The 20,067-nt window shown below is 40.0% G+C and overlaps 1 protein-coding gene across 44 annotated transcripts in view; it reads left to right on the top strand.

The window, feature by feature from the left end:
• The window catches only part of CD44 (CD44 molecule (IN blood group)), a 93,232-nt gene that overhangs the window by 34,394 nt on the left and 38,771 nt on the right, over nt 1-20,067 (top strand). For 39 of the 44 annotated variants that reach the window (NM_001440324.1, XM_011520482.3, XM_005253232.4 and 36 more), the window contains exons 2-5: nt 3,011-3,176; nt 6,710-6,843; nt 13,268-13,336; nt 16,271-16,501. In NM_001440324.1, coding sequence (NP_001427253.1) covers nt 3,011-3,176; nt 6,710-6,843; nt 13,268-13,336; nt 16,271-16,501 — 600 coding nt within the window. The remainder of the gene's footprint in view (nt 1-3,010; nt 3,177-6,709; nt 6,844-13,267; nt 13,337-16,270; nt 16,502-20,067) is intronic. The other 5 variants (NM_001440326.1, NM_001440332.1, NM_001440329.1 and 2 more) reach the window with 4 other exon arrangements.

Raw genomic sequence — 20,067 nt, forward strand, 5'->3', positions numbered from 1 at the left:
TAATGATGCAAACAAAAGAAAATAAAAATAATAGACATTGGCTTATGTCTTTTCAAGTTCCATTTCTTGTTTCTTCTTTTACTATTTTCAGAATCAAGGAAGATAATACAGAATTTTAACAGTTTTCTTACCTCATTTTGCATTTGTTAGACATTGTTTCCTCGTGGTTGAGACCTGCTTCCTGCTCAGGAAAGAGAAAGCAGTGGTTGCCCATACAATTCAATAATAATGACTCTTTGTCATTATTTAACAGTTGTTTAGGTGTGCCTCTCTCCTTTCTTCAGTTGCACTAATGATAGAAAAGGATCCTTGGGCACATAGTAAAGTGGTTCAAATCATGGGTTTGGGTGGTAAACAGGTCTGAGATAGATTTCCTGCTCTGCCACTTAAGAGCTGGGTGACGTTGGGGAGTCATTTAATTTTTCTGAGCTTCACCCATAAATAATACATACATACATAAAACTCACCTTTCAGGTTTCTGAAGATGATGCAACACAGAATCTCAAAGGTACTGGGTACCCAGGGACACTGCAGTAATAGGTCCCCTCTCCTATTGCTGTCAGCTCAGAAATACAGAACAGAGCAACTGGGATTCAGAAAGGAGACTATAGGCTCTAGATAGAGGTACTCACTCACTTCCTTGGGCAACTCACTTCCCTGAGCCTCAACTTTCTTGTTGGTAAATAAGTGGAATCTTCCTACCCACCACTAGAACTGTGCAAGGAAGAGATGGAGCTGGTTAATGCCAGTTCTGTCTGATTCCAGACCTGGTTCTTAACTAACAACAAGGAGTGGTGCCTGGCCAGGCACTTGGGGCATTGTCCCAAGAGGATGTCAACATGTCTTCTTAGAGAAGGACAGTCATTGAGGCCTGAGGAAGTGTTCAGGAGGAATAAGCTTCACCAGGATAGTTTCAATGACTTAACCCTTTGCATGCAGTTTCCTCAAGTGTAAACCGGGGGTCATATAGTCCCAGGAGTTTTCAATTACAGCCTTTGAAGTCTTTTGAGATTGTTACACAGGATCAAGTAGAAGAGGATGATTTCTAGCTCTCTATTGGAATTTCAGATTAATGTCTACAAAACTCACTAAAGTCCTTGTATTGAATAATTCTTTACCCAACTGATAGCAGTTAGGCTTCATTTTCAATGCCATTAACTCTGAGAGCAAACGACAGGCTTTTGGTCTGCCAATATATTAAAAGTGTGTTTCTGAGGAAATTTCAATGAGTCATTCGTTTATATAACAAATACTTGTTGAGCATCTACTTTCTATTGGGTACTGTTATAGGGATTAGAGATAACAGCTGCAAGCAAGTAAAAGGCCCTTGCTTTCTCAGAGCTTTCATTCCAGGAAGGAGAGAAAGAGAGTAACCACACACATCAATAGATGACCAGGCTGTTGTGAAGACACAAAAGCCAAATGAGTTGAGGGAGAGACTGGGGGTTAGACAAGGGTGTTTAGGGAAGCACTCTAAAGTGAGGTGACGTGGAGTTAAAATTCTGAATGATAAAAAAAATGAACCACCTATGTGACCATTTGAGGATGGAACATTCCAGACAGAGAGGAAGGCAGATACAAATATTCTAGGATGGGAAGGAGCTCAGAATGTCTGAGAGAATTGAAGACAAGCTTTGTGCTTAGAGCAGAGCAAGCTACTTTGAGGTTAGAGAGGGAGCCAGGAGCCAGATTATGTTGGTTTTAGCCATAATAAGAACATTTATACTGGGTATGAACATAAACTCTTGGAGGTTGTAAGCCAGGGAGAGATCACTTGATTGTGAAAAAATGCTCATAACATAAGATTAAGTGGAAAAATGACTCTTAAATCTAGAACTGTATATTCAGTACCATTTCAATTATGCAAGCATATGTGTGAGTATGTATATTTGTGTGTATGTGTGTATGTGTATATAGATACATACTTTATGTATATATGCATAAAGTACGTGTGTGCATGTGTGCACGTGTGAATGTGTGTATTCAGTAAACAAACTGGAAGAAGATATAGAAAAGTGTTTGCTGTAGTTTTTGTAGTGGTGGACTTATTTTCCTTCATTGCTTTCCTGTGTTTTGTAAGTTTTCTGTAAGTTTGTATGACATCAATAATCAAAATTAAATCATTTGCTTTTTAAAAACTTTGTTGCAGAGCAATCAATGGAGAGAATGTAAGAGTGATATTATTTTACCATGTCTTTTCTCAGATTTGAGCTTAATATCATGGTGCTTTGGAATGCTGGAGTGAATTTTGAAGGCTCTGGCTAGCAGAGAAGTTTATTTGGCTTTTTGTTTGTTTGTTCTTTTTTTTTTTTTTTTTTTGAGATAGAGTCTCGCTCTGTCACCCAGGCTGGAGTGTAGTGGCATGATCTCGGCTCACTGTAACCTCTGCCTCCTGGTTCAAGTGATTCTTCTGCCTCAGCCTCCCAAGTAGCTGGGACTACAGGCATGTGCCACCACACCTGACTAATTTTTGTATTTTTTTTTTTTTTTTTTTTTGAAACGGAGTCTTGCTCTGTCGCCCAGGCTGGAGTGCAGTGGCGCGATCTCAGCTCACTGTAAGCTCCGCCTCCCAGGTTCATGCCATTCTCCTGCCTCAGCCTCCGGAGCAGCTGGGACTACAGGCGCCCGCCACCACGCCCAGCTAATTTTTTATATTTTTAGTAGAGACGGGGTTTCACCGTGTTAGCCAGGATGGTCTCGATCTCCTGACCTTGTGATCCGCCCGCCTCGGCCTCCCAAAGTGCTGGGATTACAGGCTTGAGCCACCGCGCCCGGCCTAATTTTTGTATTTTTAGTAGAGACGGGGTTTCGCCATGTTAACCAGGCTGGTCTTGAGCTCCTGACCTCAGGTGATCCACCCACCTCGGCCTCCCAAAGTGCTGGGATTGTAGGCATGAGCCACCGCGCCCGGCCTTATTTGACTTTTTAAGGAGTCTGTCCTAAACTGAACTTATTACTGTCTCCAAATTATTTATGCAAAAGAATCTAACATTTCTATTTCTTCCCATAGATTTGAATATAACCTGCCGCTTTGCAGGTGTATTCCACGTGGAGAAAAATGGTCGCTACAGCATCTCTCGGACGGAGGCCGCTGACCTCTGCAAGGCTTTCAATAGCACCTTGCCCACAATGGCCCAGATGGAGAAAGCTCTGAGCATCGGATTTGAGACCTGCAGGTAAGAGACCAGCACCCGACCACTGGGGAAAGCTGGCGGCCTGGGACCAGGCAGCTGGGCTTAGAACTGGAAGGCTCCTTTCCCACAGCTGAATGGATTATTGCCTAAGGAGTCAACCCCACGTATTAATTTGGCCAAGTCAATCTGCAACCTGTATGACAACTGGAGTTTAAAGTCAGCTAAAGACACCTTTGTGAATCATAGAGCGGGAACCCAGAGGAAGCCATTAGGGGTCCTCTCGGCTGGAATCCTCTTGTCTAACCTGCTTCCACAGAGCTCTCCTGGCTTTGAAGAAGCTGCAGTATCATTGTCAGAACCACAAGAAAACATAAACCAAATAACAGTGTTTGAAATAAATATGTGGCTGTTAGAGTCTTGGCCCTGCAGACTTGGATCAAAGCAGACTTTTCAAACTACTCTCTCTTACTCTCTCTTAAAAAAAATTTTTTTTGGTTTCTCTTCTATGTTTCTCTGGTTTGAAAAAGTAAATAAAAAGGCATGAAAGTTATTAAGCTATATTATATTAAGATATATTATTTTTGGGAGCCCTGAGAGGGCTCCTACCAGTTATTCTAGAGCTGCATAGAGCCTTCCTCAAACTATGGCTCCAAGCAAGATAATCACAACAAGCAAGGACTTTATTTTTTGAATTTCCAATGGCCTTGCGGTAAGCGGTGCACAAGAAGAGCAAGCCACGGTGGCAATCACAGTGAATTGTTGTGGTTCGATTTGTTTTCACTAGAAGAGGACTGAGTAACCTCTGCAACTGCTCTGAAGTTTCTACCCCAGCCTGTAGCTGTGCTTTTGCAGTGTCTTTAGGTAATATGATTCCCCTTTCTCTGCAACACACACTCACATGCACACAGACTGCTTTTGAAAAGTCAAGCTGCAGAACTCTACGGAAACCATGAAGTGTAAGTTAAGTGCTTCTATCCTCCAACACTGGGTACAGTCATGCACCCACATTATGAGTGATGGCTGAGACTCTTGCTGAAAGGGAAAAGGAAAGTCTTTTGCCTAAAATTGCCCTGTCTGATATGGTAGCCACTAACCACATGTGGTGACTTACACTTAAACTAATTAAAATACTAAAATTAAAACTTTAGTTCTTCACTAGCACTAACTACATTTTAAGTGCTCGGTTAGTCACCGATGGCCAGTGGCTACTGTACTGGATGACCCAGGTTAGAGAACATTTCCATCATTGCAGAAAGTTCTATTGAGGAGCACTGCTCTAAAATAAAGAGCAGATGTACATAGACATCTGTATGTGTTCAGAGCTAGGTCTGGGGGAATATGAAAGGAGCAGAGAGAGGGAGAAAGCTCTGGTGGCTACTGAACTTGCACTGTAGGATGCAATGAAAAAAGGCCATTTAGCAAATCCATTATTCTATTCCCAAGGCTAATTGTTTAATTATGGCCCTGACTAGGCCACTGGCCTAAGAAAGTGAATTTAGTAAGCTGAACTTTGATTGTGAAATACAAACAAGGCATACTTGCAAAATATAGATATGCTGCCATGTGCTGAGGACCAGGGGAGTTCTTACAACTGCCACTGGCCAATCATCAAGCACTTAGATGCTGGGAGCCCTACTGCCCACCTGGCCAAACCCCTCACTTAATCCTCAAACTGCAGTATTGGTCAATATTATCACCTCATTTTATGGATGAAGCAGCCGAGGCTTAGCGAATTTGCACACACAGCCTGCCTATGGAGGAGTTAGGATTCTGGTTCTGCTTAGCCTCAGCCCAGGACAGGATTTTAATGACCAAGTCCTCCTCAGGGGCTTAAAAGGGGAGGAAAGTATGCTTCCTGGATTTGCTGAATATTCTTTCCTCCTTGTGAACAGTAACTTACTCATGCCACATACACACATATAAACTTTAATATCCCCAATTTACAGTTAGCATGACCCATAAAACCGGTAGGCAACATGAGGTGGCAAAAACTCAGTAATAGCTTACAAAGAGAATGCAATAGATTCTAGAATGTTGGTGTTATCCATACTTGATGACATGATGTGATGGGGGTGAGTTGGTGGGTAGGTTCACCAAGAAGTATTATTTAGAAAAACTGTGCCAAAGAAATCTATCATTTCACCCATAACTGGTATTAAGTATTGCAAAACTCATTTCCATAATTTCTCTCAGGTAGCTATGAATCAGCTTTCTGCCACAGGACAGATGGCAGAGTCTCATGGGTTAGGATAAAACCTTAGCAGCTACTCTCTTTTGTCTGCCCCACCCTGATTGGTAGCAACTCTTAGATATATGAAAACTTATTACCATTTAATTGTGCCCACACCCCCTGCCAAGCTAAGGAGGCTTTGGGGAAACCAGTTTGTCTGTTCAGATGAGAAATTAGTCATGCGAGCTACAATTGCCACATAGGTAGGAGTTCTGTGTGCTTGGAAACTTCAGACTCACAGACATTTCCATGGGTCGTGCAGGGTGATGCACTCCATGCTGTTGCCCCTGGCAGGAAAGATGAAAAGCATCAATGTGCATTTTAGCCAGAATTGCATTTTGAAAAACCTGCTGGATTTAGCTTCCTCCTCTCTGCCCTCCTGCTGCACCACAGCTTCCCTTGCACATGGCATTTTCTCAGCCCACATCTCATTTTTTGAGGCATTTTATATTCAAAAAAAATTGTGTTTTTAGCACAATTAAAAAATAAGCAAGTTTTTAGCCACCAGGATGCTGCTAGAAGAGGCTGGGCTGTGTATGTTGTATCTGTATGTCGTATCCAGCTGTAACACACTCCCAGAGATACCTTGGTGGGGAGAGAGGGGCTATGCATTTCTCTGGCTGTGCTACTTCTGGAAAGTTCCTGAGCTACATGAGCCGTTGCTATCTGCTTACTTAATTGCTATGACTCCCATTGTAATGATGGTTAATTTATTCCCACTGGCAATAGAATTATGCCTGCAATGCTCAGGAGGCAGTGTGCTGTGCTGTGTACTTGGCATATAAACAAGGCTTCATGTTTAGGGCAATGGAGTATGGAGTAAGGGGACTCACAGGAAAAGTTGTGGCTGAGAAAGAAGTGGGGGAATGGGACATGAGGCAGGTCTGGAATGTGTGCACTGAAATAAAGAAGCACCCCTTCCTATCTATGGAAGCTGGCCATTTTGTGTATTTTCTGGAAAACATGAAGGTATTCCAGAGCCAGCATGAATCTTACATCAAAACTTCTCTCTTCTGTGACTCAGGCTTCCTTCTGTTTGTTCAAATAGACTCAACACTGCTGAACACAAATTTTAACTGAAACTAATTATTCCTTTCATGATTTTTTTTTAAAGCTCTTTATAGGTCTCTAAATAAAATCACTTTGTTTCTATCAGTCTTGTTGATCTCTTTCCCTCTCTATGCTGTTATTTTTGGATTTCAAATAACTCGGTTGTTGAAACCTCCGATATCCCTAGGGGTGAACTGAATGAAGTGTTGCACGGCATTAAATGTCATTGAATGGGATATTATGAAATTCCCATCTTAGCCATTTAGGTCAATATCCTGTTGTTTTTCTCTTACAGGTATGGGTTCATAGAAGGGCACGTGGTGATTCCCCGGATCCACCCCAACTCCATCTGTGCAGCAAACAACACAGGGGTGTACATCCTCACATCCAACACCTCCCAGTATGACACATATTGCTTCAATGCTTCAGGTTGGTTCTCAGGGGGGTGTCTGTTGGCGTGAAAGGCTGTGGGAGCCTGGTCTTTGGAGCTCAGCTTAAGTGGGGATTCATGTAGCCTCCATTTACATAACAAATGCTCACTGAATATCTGTACAGCAGAGCCAACATTCCTGTCTCCATGGAGCTTACATGCTAAATTGGGGAGGCAAACAATAAACAAATAAATATTAAATACCATTCAGGACTGTCCAATCTTTTGGCTTCCCTAGGTCACATTGGGAGAAGAATTGTCTTGGGCCCCACATAAATTACACTAAAACTAAGAGTAGCTGATAAGCTAAAACACAAACAAAAATCACACAAAAAAAATCTCATAATGTTTTAAGAAAGTTTACGGGTTTGTGTTGGACCACATTCAAAGTCATCCTGGACCACACAAGGCCTGTGAGCCGCAGGTTGGACAAGCTTGCCCTATATGAAGTCTGAAAGTGATAAAAGTGCTATAAAAAAGAAAGCAAAATACGAGGCTAATGAGTGCTAGGGATGCTTTTATTTTCTGAGAAGGTGGTCAGGGAAAGTGCCTCCTGGACTGTTCTGAGAATATCAGTGCTCAGAAGGGAGAATGCCAAGGAATAAAGTCAGAGAGCTAAGCAAGGGCCAGCTAACGGGGTGATTCATTCTCAGTGTGATGGGAAGTCATTACAGGTTTTGAATAAGGGAGTGACATGAATCTAATGATAGCTTTGGGGTGTAAGTCAAATGTCTTAGCTGAGAGGTATTTATTATATGAGAGGGCTGGAAAAAAGCCTTGGAGAGTATATGGTATGCCTTTGACCTTCTTAAATATCCCTTACCCAACAGTTGAAAGAACCAGAGAAGAAGAAACCTAAGTTAAGATGTAGATGCTAGGACACAGGCCAGCCTTTCTCTATGTCTTTGTGACTTTCTCCCAACCATTAACCTAGAAAATCAGGCTTATGAGCCTTATTCAAGTCCTAGCAAAATTAAAGAATTCTATGCATCATGAATTTTCAGAATTTTTTGAGAAGGATCAAAATATAAATGTCAAATATCTCGATGCCAACTATCAAAAGTCTTACCTCTTAAACTGGGCCTTCTGTTCCCATGGAAGGTTTGAAGTTGGGTGAAGGGAAAGATGAAGCCTTGAGGTAAACTTGGTACATCTTGCTGGAGTGTCAGTTTTCCCTAAAGATGTGAAGGGGATGTTAAATTAGCTGGAAAGGGACTTAAGACATTATCAGCCTGAGACAAACACAGATATATACATATACATATATATATATTTATATATATATTTATTTATATATATTTATAAATATTTATTTATATTTATATATTTATATTCATTTATATAAATTTATATTTATATATTTATATTTATTTATATAAATTTATATATAAATTATATTTATATATTTAAATATATATTATAAATATATAAAAATTATATTTATATATAAATTTATATATATATATTATATATAATTCTATATATAATATAATATATAATATATATTATATATTATATTATATATAAATTATATATAATATATATAAATTTTATATATATAAATATTATATATTATATATAAATTTATATTTATATATATGTATATATGTATATATAAATATATACACATTTATATATATAAAATCAAGATATCACAGATATATATACCATATACATCAAATATAAATATACATATACCATATATATGGTAGTAAAATATAAAAAGCTGCATGGATTTTTAAACTATAAAAAGGACATCAACTTAATTATGAGATCTTTCTTCTACTCACTACTAAAAAAAACCCAAAAATTAAAATTAATTGTGAGATTACATCAGTGGCTTTAGTCTACACCACCTACCCTTTGTTGTGTGAACAGTAGGGATCAGAGTGGAAATTCAGAGAAGAAATCTAGAGTTTAGGACAAAGTATCAGGGCTGGCTAGTTGAAATGGAGTGCGTGAAGCCAGTAGATTTTGACAAAAATTTACAGGTCACTGAATCTATCGAGAGACATACGAAACAGGAACAGAAAACTGTAGAATGTTTACTCCTCCCTGTTATATGAGTGAAGAACACAAATGGAGTTTGACTAAAGGGAAGGGAGTCCAATTAACACTAAGTAGTACACGACTCATACATACTCAGTTCCCATACCCATGTCTAGCATGTCGTTCTAATGATATTATAATGAGAAAACCACATATAAAAAAGTAAGAAATAGACATAGAGCAACATGTGGTCTAGCTAGCTCCATCTCAGTGCAACAGGTCAGAGGGAGACATTGGGAAAAGCTTGTGCTTTAGATGAAGAGGTTGACTCATTGGGAAAGGGCTGGCATGAGGCTATACACTCCTGAGTCTCTGGGCACTGCTTATTGCATCTCCCATTGAGTCTTGCTGAGTGAATGTATGCAATAAATTATGTAGTTGCATACCCACATTGTCTTACCTGTTTTGCAAGTTGGTTTCACTTGCTAAAAGGAACCTCAACTCAGATAGAAGCTCACACTGTTTTATTGCCTGGCATCGAAGCCATCTAGGCAGGCTGCGACTGAGACTTGTTTCTATCCTTAATTTTGTTCATGAGGTTGGGCCCATACCTGGAGTTGGGAGCAAGAGCATTGATTAATTTTCTTCTCTTTGGAGGGTTAGTTCAGTTGAAAAGCTTGAGAAGTACAGGGGGTATGTTCCTTACTAAAATGGATGAATTAAATAATAAAGCTAGAAGTAATATTTTTCCTTTTGTCTATTTTCCAAATTGACTCGATATTGATGGCTACTTTTGTAAGTTTTTATTTAAGTTTAAAGGGAATATTTATTGATCACCTCTATGTGCTCAGTACTGCACTAGGCAGAGATGGAGTAAGAAAGAACTGGAGGCTACATTTCTTGTCTTAAAGGAGTTAACAATCTTGTTGAAGCAATGAGACAAAAAAAAAAAAAGAAAGAAACTGGAGAAGAGGATAAATGTGTTTAAGGATAAATAAATTCTGAATGTCTTGGATTAGAGTCAGATGATAGGGGTATTAAGTGAGCTAAAGATTTTGATAAACTGCCCTATGCAAAGATTTCATTGCAAGGATCCCTGAATCTAATTTAGCCTGAAAGCTGCTAGCAGGTGGTCATGTCCCAGTGCTGTGATCCCCCCCATAAAACGGCTACAGGGATAAAAGTCAGCTTGATCTTAGTAGATAGCTTCCATAAGCTTAAGTTTTAGCAGTATTTTTAGAAAACATGGCCTGTGGCTAACAAATGAAAATAAGGCAGAACTTGAAAAGGCCTTTGTGATTTTTTTTCCCTCATTTTCAGTGGTTGAGGCCCAACGTGAGCCTGGTGACTTCTGTGTGAACACAGAACTGACTTGAATTGATTCATTTATTAAGCTTGCTTTCAGTCAAGTGCCTCATTTTCTTTTGAGGGTAGAATTAAAGGGAAGATTCTACATGTACTTGTTTATCCATTTCCTCCTTTATTCAACAACTATTTGAGAATATTTATGAGATACCTAAAATGTATCAAGCATTGAAGAGGGTGCCTTTCTATCTGGCAACCAGAGATTAGTGGTTAGACTGAATAATTAATGTTTCTCTTGGTTATTTTGGTGTGTTGAAGCCAAGGTTTATGAGAAAGCCCACCTCAGAGAATTTCTAACAAGTCCTCAGATTCAGGAACACCTCACCAGGTCTAGCTTTCCAAGCAGTACAGAGCTCATTAAATGGAAAGAAAGGCTATCTAATAAGGCCCTGGAATCCGACATGAGAGCATGAGTCTGTTAATTGCACATTTGGGTCAATCCACTAAGCATATTTGCCAGATTTGATGTTCTTTATAAAAGTTAAGGTGAATTGGAGCATGAAGGGGGTCCATGTGAACAAATGCTCTAATAATTTACAAAACTGTCTTAGGGTTTGTGACATCATGCTCCATTCTATTACAACTTGCTGCCTGGAAATTCCCAGTGTACTGTTACTTGCAGTTATATTTGAAGTTAGGGGAGATTGTTTCATCCCTGGCATCAAGAAGCCATAATCCAAAGCCTGGTTCCAGGTATGCACAACATACAAATATCAGAAGCATCTCATAGGTTGCGTCAGTTTCTGCTGATATTTCCAAGAGAAACAAGATAGATACTCCCCTAAATCTCCCAGGTTGGCTATATGCCCTTATTTTCAAGTGTAATAATTTTGGAAAATATTTTTGAAAACTGTAAAAAGCTAAATTAATATTAATTATTACAGTCCCCCATGACCTTGTGAGTTTATCAGAAGCAGGGACAGAAACATGCTCATCTTCTTTTCTCCTTTTATATGGTCTGGCATATAAGTGTTGAGTAGATGCTTAAAAATAATAAATGAAGAGTTATATCTGTAACTTCCTTTAATTATTTCTTATGGCATTACCATTTAAGGATAATCTAAATGCGTGACCTGTACATATTTGGAGATGCATTTAGGGGGCTAACATCTTAGGTGTGTTTACTGGAAGAATAGACCCTTGGGAAATTATATCGGTACTTTTTTCTTTTTTCATCCATTCAACACATTTTTATTGCATGTTTCTCTGTCCCCATCACACATAAATGTTCTGGCCAAGACAGATAAAGTTATTACTCATCTGTGGAGCTTATACATTTCTAGGGAGGGAGGCAGGTAGCAGAAGGCAGAGATTGAGAGAAGTGCCATGAACAGCCATCAAGTAAGATGAACAAGATAAGTTTATATGGTGGTAAACATGAAGAAGAAATGAGAGCAAGATGCTATGTGATGGTGACAGGTGTGGGGGAGTGATGAAGCAGTTTAGATTGGATGGTAAGGAATGGCCTCGCCAAGGAGGTGATACTTCTCTTTAAAGAAATCTGAGAAATCTTTTAGGACAGGCTTTGCAAGAATGGTGTTTCCTAAAACTTTCTGTTTTTTTCCAATTGAATGTATAAAACTGCCAGTTAGTTCCACTAACTGCCCAAAGAAATGGGCAGGTTAAGGTTATCCTTTTTATCTGTGGGAAAAGATGCTCCCAGGTACTAGGAAGCAAACAAAACCTGTTTTGTTCAACTTGTGTTTCTATCCACTTTTATAAGTACACAAAAATTATAGCAGGACACTTAAAATACTTGTGATAACAGCCTTTCTTGTGATAGCAGTCTGTCTGTCTGCCTGCCTGTCTTCCTCCCTCCCTCTCTCCATCCATCTATCCATCCATCTCCATCCATCCATCTCCTTCTTCCTCTTTGCCAGGAGCAATTCTGGGAGAAACTAACCTAACAAATAAATTTCCATTTTAATTTAAGTATGCACACACACACAGAATAAAAGCTGTAATGCACAAATGGACTTAACCTTTCTATAAAGGCAAAACCAGTTTAAAGCTCTCTGAGGTTTTAGAGCTCAATACAAGGTATAGTCACAGAATAAAGCACTTTGGCATGAATAGAAGGTTGCTTCAGCTACACTGCAGTCTGCTTTTAAGACACAAGGAATGGAATGCAGGGTGGAAGTTTCAGGGCCTGTTATCAGACCGCTTGAGACAGTGCTGCTCAGAGGGCTACCAGTAACATCTGTGGATGATCAGTCAGGCCCAAGATTCAGGCAGAAATCTTTATTCCTAAAGCAAGGGATGAAAGAGTAGAGGATAAAACGAGAACAAGAGAAAAAAAAAACCAGAAATGCCCATGATGAGATATGCCAAAACAGTAACCTTGAAAAATATTCTGGGCACCTAGGCCAAAGGTGGTCAACCTCAGAAGCAACATGCTGAGAAGCAGTCTATACAGAGTAAGCACCTAAAAGATCAGCTAAATTAATAAATACATTATTACATTAATGAAAGACTAGAGATTCATTTGGTTTTTAATATTTCAACTGAGTAAATTCTTTGTTGTGATTATGTTATTTTAACCTTCAGATTGTCATGCTGTTCATGTTGATAAACATTTGATTGTGTGTCTGCCATGTTTTCTCATCATTTCTGTGGACTTCCCAGATTATAAATGATTTTCTCATGATAGTTCATACTTTACTTTTAAATTTTTTTACAATGTTCCTGCATTACTTTTGTAATCACAAATTTTAAAAATCCTCCCTAATGTGTTTGCATTAGAGAAGGAGCCGTGTCTATCTTATTTAAAATTGTACCCCCAGGCTTCCACAGTGCCTGATATAGAATGTATATTTATTAATGAATGAATTCACTGTGGTGGGAAAATTTCCGGAAACTTCATAAGTTCCAGAAATTTATGAAATCAGGTAAAAACGGAAAATCCATCAGGAAAGGCAGAGAAATTCCTAGCCAACTTAGGAGTTTCGGAAAAAGAAAGTTATTTGGAATAAGTTATAGTAAAACTCCATTCTAACTGACTAATAAAAATGAGGGTAGATTTTCCTCATGTTTTTAAAGGGTTCTCATCCTTTTTTTCCTACCTCATAGCTCCACCTGAAGAAGATTGTACATCAGTCACAGACCTGCCCAATGCCTTTGATGGACCAATTACCATAAGTATGTCTCTCTTCTAATCTTAATTAAATTTTCCTATTTTGGGGAAAGGGCTCAGGTGTGTTCTCTGTGGTATATTTGAATAGAATATTAGGCCAGGTGTGGTGGCTCACTCCTGTAATCCCAGCACTTTGGGAGGCTGAGGTGGGTGGATCACTTGAGGTCAGAAGTTTGAGACCAGCCTGAACAATATGGCGAAACCTTATCTCTACTAAAAATACAAAAAATTAGCTGGGCATAGTGGCAGGTGCCTGTAATCCCAGCTGCTCAGGAGGCTGAGGCAGGAGAATTGCTTGAACCCAGGAGGCAGAGGTTGTAATGAGCTGAGATCGTGCCACTGCACTCCAGCCTGGGCAACAGAGTGAGACTCCATTTCCAAAAAAAAAGAAAAAAAAATATTAGTCATTTCCCTAAGACTAAGTAAGGACAGTTGGCTTTAATTCAGTGTCCCTTCCTTTTTTTCTGCAATGACTTGAAACTGCTCTCTGGTTTACACTCATGCATCGTTCCTCAAACTTCAGTCATTTGAAAACCACTTTCACATTTTTTTTGGCATCTCTATATGTACAATGCTCTCATTTACTTGATATTTTTATTTAAATGATCCACTGTTTTCTAATTAAAATACACTTATTTTTAAAAAGAAATTGCACATGGAAAACCAACATCACATCGTAAATAGAAGGCAACCTTAATAATAAACTTAAATGTAAGAAAAATTAAATAATGTTCTTAATTTGCAGCTGCTGAAAGCTCTGGGTCTGAGTCATGTTCTCTCTTATAAAGAGGGATTAATAAGTGTCAGGTGTAGGGGCATTTTGGCCCTAATTAGCAATTTTCTGTTTGATATAACTGAAGTATTGAAAGATAATCATGAAGGATATAAACTTCCTGATACGTGTTTTGACATTGTTTATACCACATCCATCTTAAATCATCCTGATATATGATTATCCACAGATGTATATATTCGGGCACTTTTTAAAAATAGACATGGGGGTCTCACTATGTTGTCCAGGCTGGTCTTGAACTCCTGGGCTCAAGCAATCCTCCTTCCTCAGCCTCCCAAAGTGCCAGGATTACAGGCATGAGCCACCATGCCTGGCCTATTCCAGCACTTTAGAAATCAGAAAATCTCAACCAGAACTTTCAAATAGGCTAACTGCTAACCCTGATCTTACGGCCTCTGAGCTTCATTTAATGGGAAACAGTACAGTGTTGAGAGGTCTGATTTCTGCTTCCTCACAGCTGGATACTGACAGTGTGCACAGGCATGATGTTGGCAGTGGCAGAGGGATGAGAATCTTCGTAGACCATACAAACCCAGCCCCACATTGTTATGTAAGGAATTGTCCCTGACCTGTGCCTTGCAATAGGAAGGGGAGGCTTCACACCATGATGGCTACGACATGAGATGTGCTGTCTCAGCAGGCCTGGTATGAAATCCTAGTTCCCTCACCATGTGTGAGATTTTAGAGGAGTGACTGATCCTCAGTTTTCTCATTCATATAATGGAACAACCTATGAGAATATTCAGGAAATTTGTAAAAGACACTATGTCTAATGTATGTCCAGCCCATAGTAGAGGTTTAATAAATGCCCTGTTTCTTTGATGCCCACAGTTCTCTTTTGAAGTCCAGACATGTAAGAGTGTGGTCAACAATATTTCCTTGTCAAATCCTCACCTGCAGAGATTACCAGGGTGACTGAGACCTTGATTTTTTTTTTCATTTATGTATTATTAATAGTTCCACTTGAGGCTTGCCACAGTGGCTCACTCCTGTAATCTCAGCACTTTGGGAGGCTGAGGCAGGCAGATCACCTGAGGTCAGGAGTTCAAGACCAGCCTGGCCAACACGGTAAAACCCCGTGTCAACTAAAAATACAAAAATTAGCTGGGTGTGGTGGCATGCACCTGTAGTCCCAGCTGCTTGGGAGGCTGAGGCAGGAGAGTTGCTTGAACCCAGGAGGCGGAGGCTGCTGCACACTGAGATTGCACCACTGCACCCCAGCCTGGGCAACAGAGTGAGACTCCATCTCGAAAAAAAAAAAAAGTTTCATTTGAGCAAGCTAAATATGTGGCCAAAAAGAACCTTTAGTCCCATCAATGCAATACAGCAGAAAATAATTTCATCTAAATGCACACCTGCATAGTGAGTGGCCCAGACTTGAGAGCAGCAAATACTTCTAGGGAGGAATAATGAATGAATGCATTCAGGCTTTTTCTTCTCCAATTCATTCTAGTCATTTGTTGAAACCACAGATGTTGATCTTCATGTATATCTGTGCTTGTTAATTTCCAGGTTGAATTTCACAGAGAACGGCAAATGCTCTTCTGTATTTAGACCTGCTGGTTTCCTAGCCAGAAGTGGGTGTTTGCACAAGTGGACAAAACTTGCCCCTTAAAAAAGAAAATCAAAATCTTCATCATTTTGCAGATGTATCTTCCCTGCTGAGGCTATTAGTCTGCTACTTCAAATCCTTTTCGGAGGAATATATGGAATTAATAGCAACACATTTTATATGTACTTCAGAAGGGAGAGTAGGGAAACAAGTGGGAGAATGATTATTTATTGAGCATCCACTGTATTTTGAATACTGTGCTGAGCACTTTACTTACAATGTATCACATAATCCCCATTTTACAAATGAGGAAACTGAAGCTCAGAGTTGCCTTGTCCAGAGCTCTATGAAGCTAGGATTCAAACACAGGGATGGGACTCTCCAGTACTTCCTTGTTTCCTGCCTCATCCCCAGGGTGTGTGGGGGATGGGAGGGTGCACTTTCTTAGTGCATCTGCCACTCTCTCCCACCACTGGATAGATAGGTGTTTCTCATTACAAAGGAAAATAGCTTTGAAGTCACTATGTTAAACGCTAATCCACATACTCAAAATATGAGCTGTGAAGTTCTGTAAGTACCTTTTCTCTCTCCCAGCTATTGTTAACCGTGATGGCACCCGCTATGTCCAGAAAGGAGAATACAGAACGAATCCTGAAGACATCTACCCCAGCAACCCTACTGATGATGACGTGAGCAGCGGCTCCTCCAGTGAAAGGAGCAGCACTTCAGGAGGTTACATCTTTTACACCTTTTCTACTGTACACCCCATCCCAGACGAAGACAGTCCCTGGATCACCGACAGCACAGACAGAATCCCTGCTACCAGTAAGGAGAATAAATCACTGTGCTTCCCAATAGCAATTCCCTGGCAAAATGTCTCTGACCTTCCTGAGCATTGCACACTCACGTGCTGATTTTCTCGTCTCTAGACAGCTGGAAGCTGGTGATGCCATTCAGGGAGGTGGGCTCTTGTGGTTGTCAGTAAACTGCCTGCATTGACTACTACTGCCTACCTTTTTTCCTCATCTATAACTGTTTTTCTTACCTTAGCATAAGAAGTGCCATATTGGAAGTTTTATTTTGGGGAGAGCCCTCCTTATTCTCTTATCCCCAGGTATACAGTAACAATTCAAGCCTGATATGAAAACTGTTTTCATTTTTTCATGTTTCCTTCTTGTTCTTATCCACCTATGGATAAGATTGTTTTCATAAAGTTGGGATCATAGAGTTTGCATACCACTCCACTAGCACCTTTTAAAAAACCCACTTATGCCTGAGGTTGCAATTTTTTGAATTTTTGCAATCAGACCTTGGTGATGACAATGAGCAGTAGGATATAAATAACTCCCACATGCTTAGCTTTCCAATAATGGAACAGTAGGCATACGTGGGTCAACTGTGGCTTTTTATGTTTTAACTTGATTTACATTCATACTATTGATAGTGTAATATTCAGTGATTTTCACCAACGATAATTTACTCAACAATTCCTTTGTTTTTAGTCCAAGGAAGCATATCTGGAAGAGTTTTCTGGTGAAATTAAATCAGCTTAAGAGCTCTATAATCCAGCCTGTTGGGGAATGTTCTCAATACTTACTTGGTGTGTGGGGGTAATTCATTACTTAGGGTTGCAAGAGTGGAAGTATGTAAACATTGCGTTCCATTCCTTTGGAGTTTGCCCCTCGCGCTTCAGCTCCACTGGAAAGTGTTTACATCTCTCTTGTCTCCTGTTTCCCTCTTTGCTTTTCTTCTATGGTTTGTTTTGAAATGGGCTCCCAGATGGGCCATGTTCCTCCTGTGGAGGATTAATCAAACTCAAATAGGGCATCTGCCTCTGGAGCGGTTTTCCTAGTATGGTGTGGATGTTCTCTTTTCCTGGCTATAGCTCCTGAGGGGTGAAACTTGGGCCTCCAAAGAGTGTGGCAGAAATGCGCTGGCTTGTGAATACTCAAGACAGGGCCCTTCTCTATTCCTTGTCACCCAGAAGCCAGGGAAACCCCCACAGTACTGTGATTTCATTTAAGGTCACTTGCGCAATAGTGTTTTAAATTTCTGTCAGTCTCTGGCTGAGGGCATGATACAAATAGGCTTGGGGTTCCCATCACTCCCTGCACATTCTTTGAAGCTTTTTAAAAAGCAGAGTTTTCAAGCTGCCCATACTTTCTTGGGTTATTGGCCCTCTTGAGTTTGCATCGGCTTATTGTTGGTAGTCCCGTGGGCAACCCTTCTTGAGAGAGGCTTCTGCAAACCAAGCGGGCCGTGCTGCTAGCTACTCACTGCTTCTTGGGTTCCCTGTCTTTTTAAAGTAACCATGTCGAAGGTGCTTATCATTATGGTAGGCAATTTTGTCGGATGTTAGCGAACACAATAATTAGTGGTCTCAGCAGGAAGGAGAATAGGTCTACCCTAAAGTACCACTTCCCACCAAAGAAGAAAATCCTGATAAAACATAACTTGGGACTATATGTAGTTAACATTCAAACCACTAATAGCCTATATAAAATAGTATTTCATGTGTGTTTTAAAAACACACATTTCATTAACCCCTATAGAATATCTCTTAAGAACTGTATCTTCCCTTCCTAAGTTAGTCAGCAAACGTATTTTGAGAACCTACTACGTACCAGGCCTATTAGAATGCTTGGGATCGAAGGATAAACATAGTTAGGAAGTAATATTGAAGAGAGGCAAGGATTACTGAGATATTTATTCATTCAATCAATATCTGAGGTCTTCTGTATGCCAGACACTGCTCTAGGATGCTAGGAATTCAGAGTTGGACTTACCTTCATGGAGACTACATATTATTGGTTTAGAAATCAGGGAAAAGGAGTGTTTATGAGATTTAACTAAAACATAGTTCAGGATTTGAGCTGAGAAATGAATTGTGCCTTTCTCCTCCCAGATAAATTAGTTAAGTTTCCTTCAGCAGCTAAAAAAGAAAGAGACTAATGAGTCTACCAAATGAGTCCAGGGCTAACCTGAGAGTCACTGAAGTACTATAGGACCCAATGGGACCAGTAGCAGCTCCAAGTGGATCACTTCATGCAAAGAAACATACCAAGGCAAACAACCTGGTGGAAACTTGAACGTAGCATAATGGCATGCCAGGAAAAGTCAGCACTGTTAGGTTCCTGAGTAGAATCGTATTTCTAAAGTCCAGTGAGGAGATTTGCAAAACCTTATCACTGTTGGACTGAGAGCTGGGACAGAGTGACAGGGAGTGATTGCAAAGCCTCCCTCATGCATTGCAGGAGGGCAGGGGTCAAGAGGAGTGCTGGCTGAGAGCACAGAAGAAGCGGTCTTTGGCTCGGCTGGCTCATTCCTTCCTGAAGGGCCTGTAGTGGGTGGCAATAGGGACAGCTAGTAAGAATAACCATCTGGGTAGCTTTAGGCTTCCAGCAGGCTGTTTATCTTGAGTGTCATCAGCCTCTTCCTATTGGTGACCTGGAACTCTCTGGGATCAAGAAACCTAAACTAATTCAGGAAGCAGACTCCTGCCTTGGAACACTGTATTTCCTTGTCTTCTGGGTGTCAAAGGAATTCTTTCTTTTTTTTTTTTTTTTTTTTCAGATCTGGTATGGCCTATTTGGGTGGGGAAAATTAGAAATTCTGCTGGCTAGGCAGTAGCTTTTTCCATTTTTCCCCCTCATACCACTCCTTTCAGGAAGACAAAAATAACGCCTATTTCTATCTTGTTCTTGTAGGTTTGTTTCCTCTGGTACTATTTTTTCCTGTTGTACTATTGGGTGAGGGTGGTGGGAATTATGCATCTTTAATAAAGTTTCTGAGGTGAGAATGTGGTGTCTGTGGATTTTCCCGGGGATGCTCAGGTTTGTCTGGAGGCTTCATGGGTAAAATTGGCTCCTATTTCTCTACTCTCTGTTCTGAACTAATGTGTCCTTTGCAGCAGGGGTGTCCAGTCTTTTGGCTTCCCTGGGCCACATTGGAAGAAGAATTGTCCTGGGCCACACATAAAATACACTAACACTAGCCATAGCTGATGGGATAACAACAACAAAAAAAGCTTATAATGTTTTAAGAAAGTTTATGAATTTTTGTTGGGCCACATTCAAAGCCATCCTGCATCACAGGTGGCCCACAGGCTACGGGTTGGACAAGCTTGATTTAGAGGACAGAACATACTGTGCCAGCTGTTGGCATTTTATATAGATAGAGTCAAAGTTTTTAACCTAGGGTTCATGGACCTTCAGTAGGTTCAATGGTAGACCATAAGGCATTCTAGAACTATCTGAAATAATATGCAAAATTTTGAGTGTGTATATGTAGCATCACTTTTTTGAGGAAGGAGGACATAACGTAGATTTTCAAAGGGATATATAATTTAAAGTGGCTTTTTAAAATCTCAGCTGGCTTAAATTAGATATTTA

This window comes from Homo sapiens, chromosome 11 (assembly GCF_000001405.40).
Source record: "Homo sapiens chromosome 11, GRCh38.p14 Primary Assembly".
Taxonomy (NCBI): domain Eukaryota; kingdom Metazoa; phylum Chordata; class Mammalia; order Primates; family Hominidae; genus Homo; species Homo sapiens.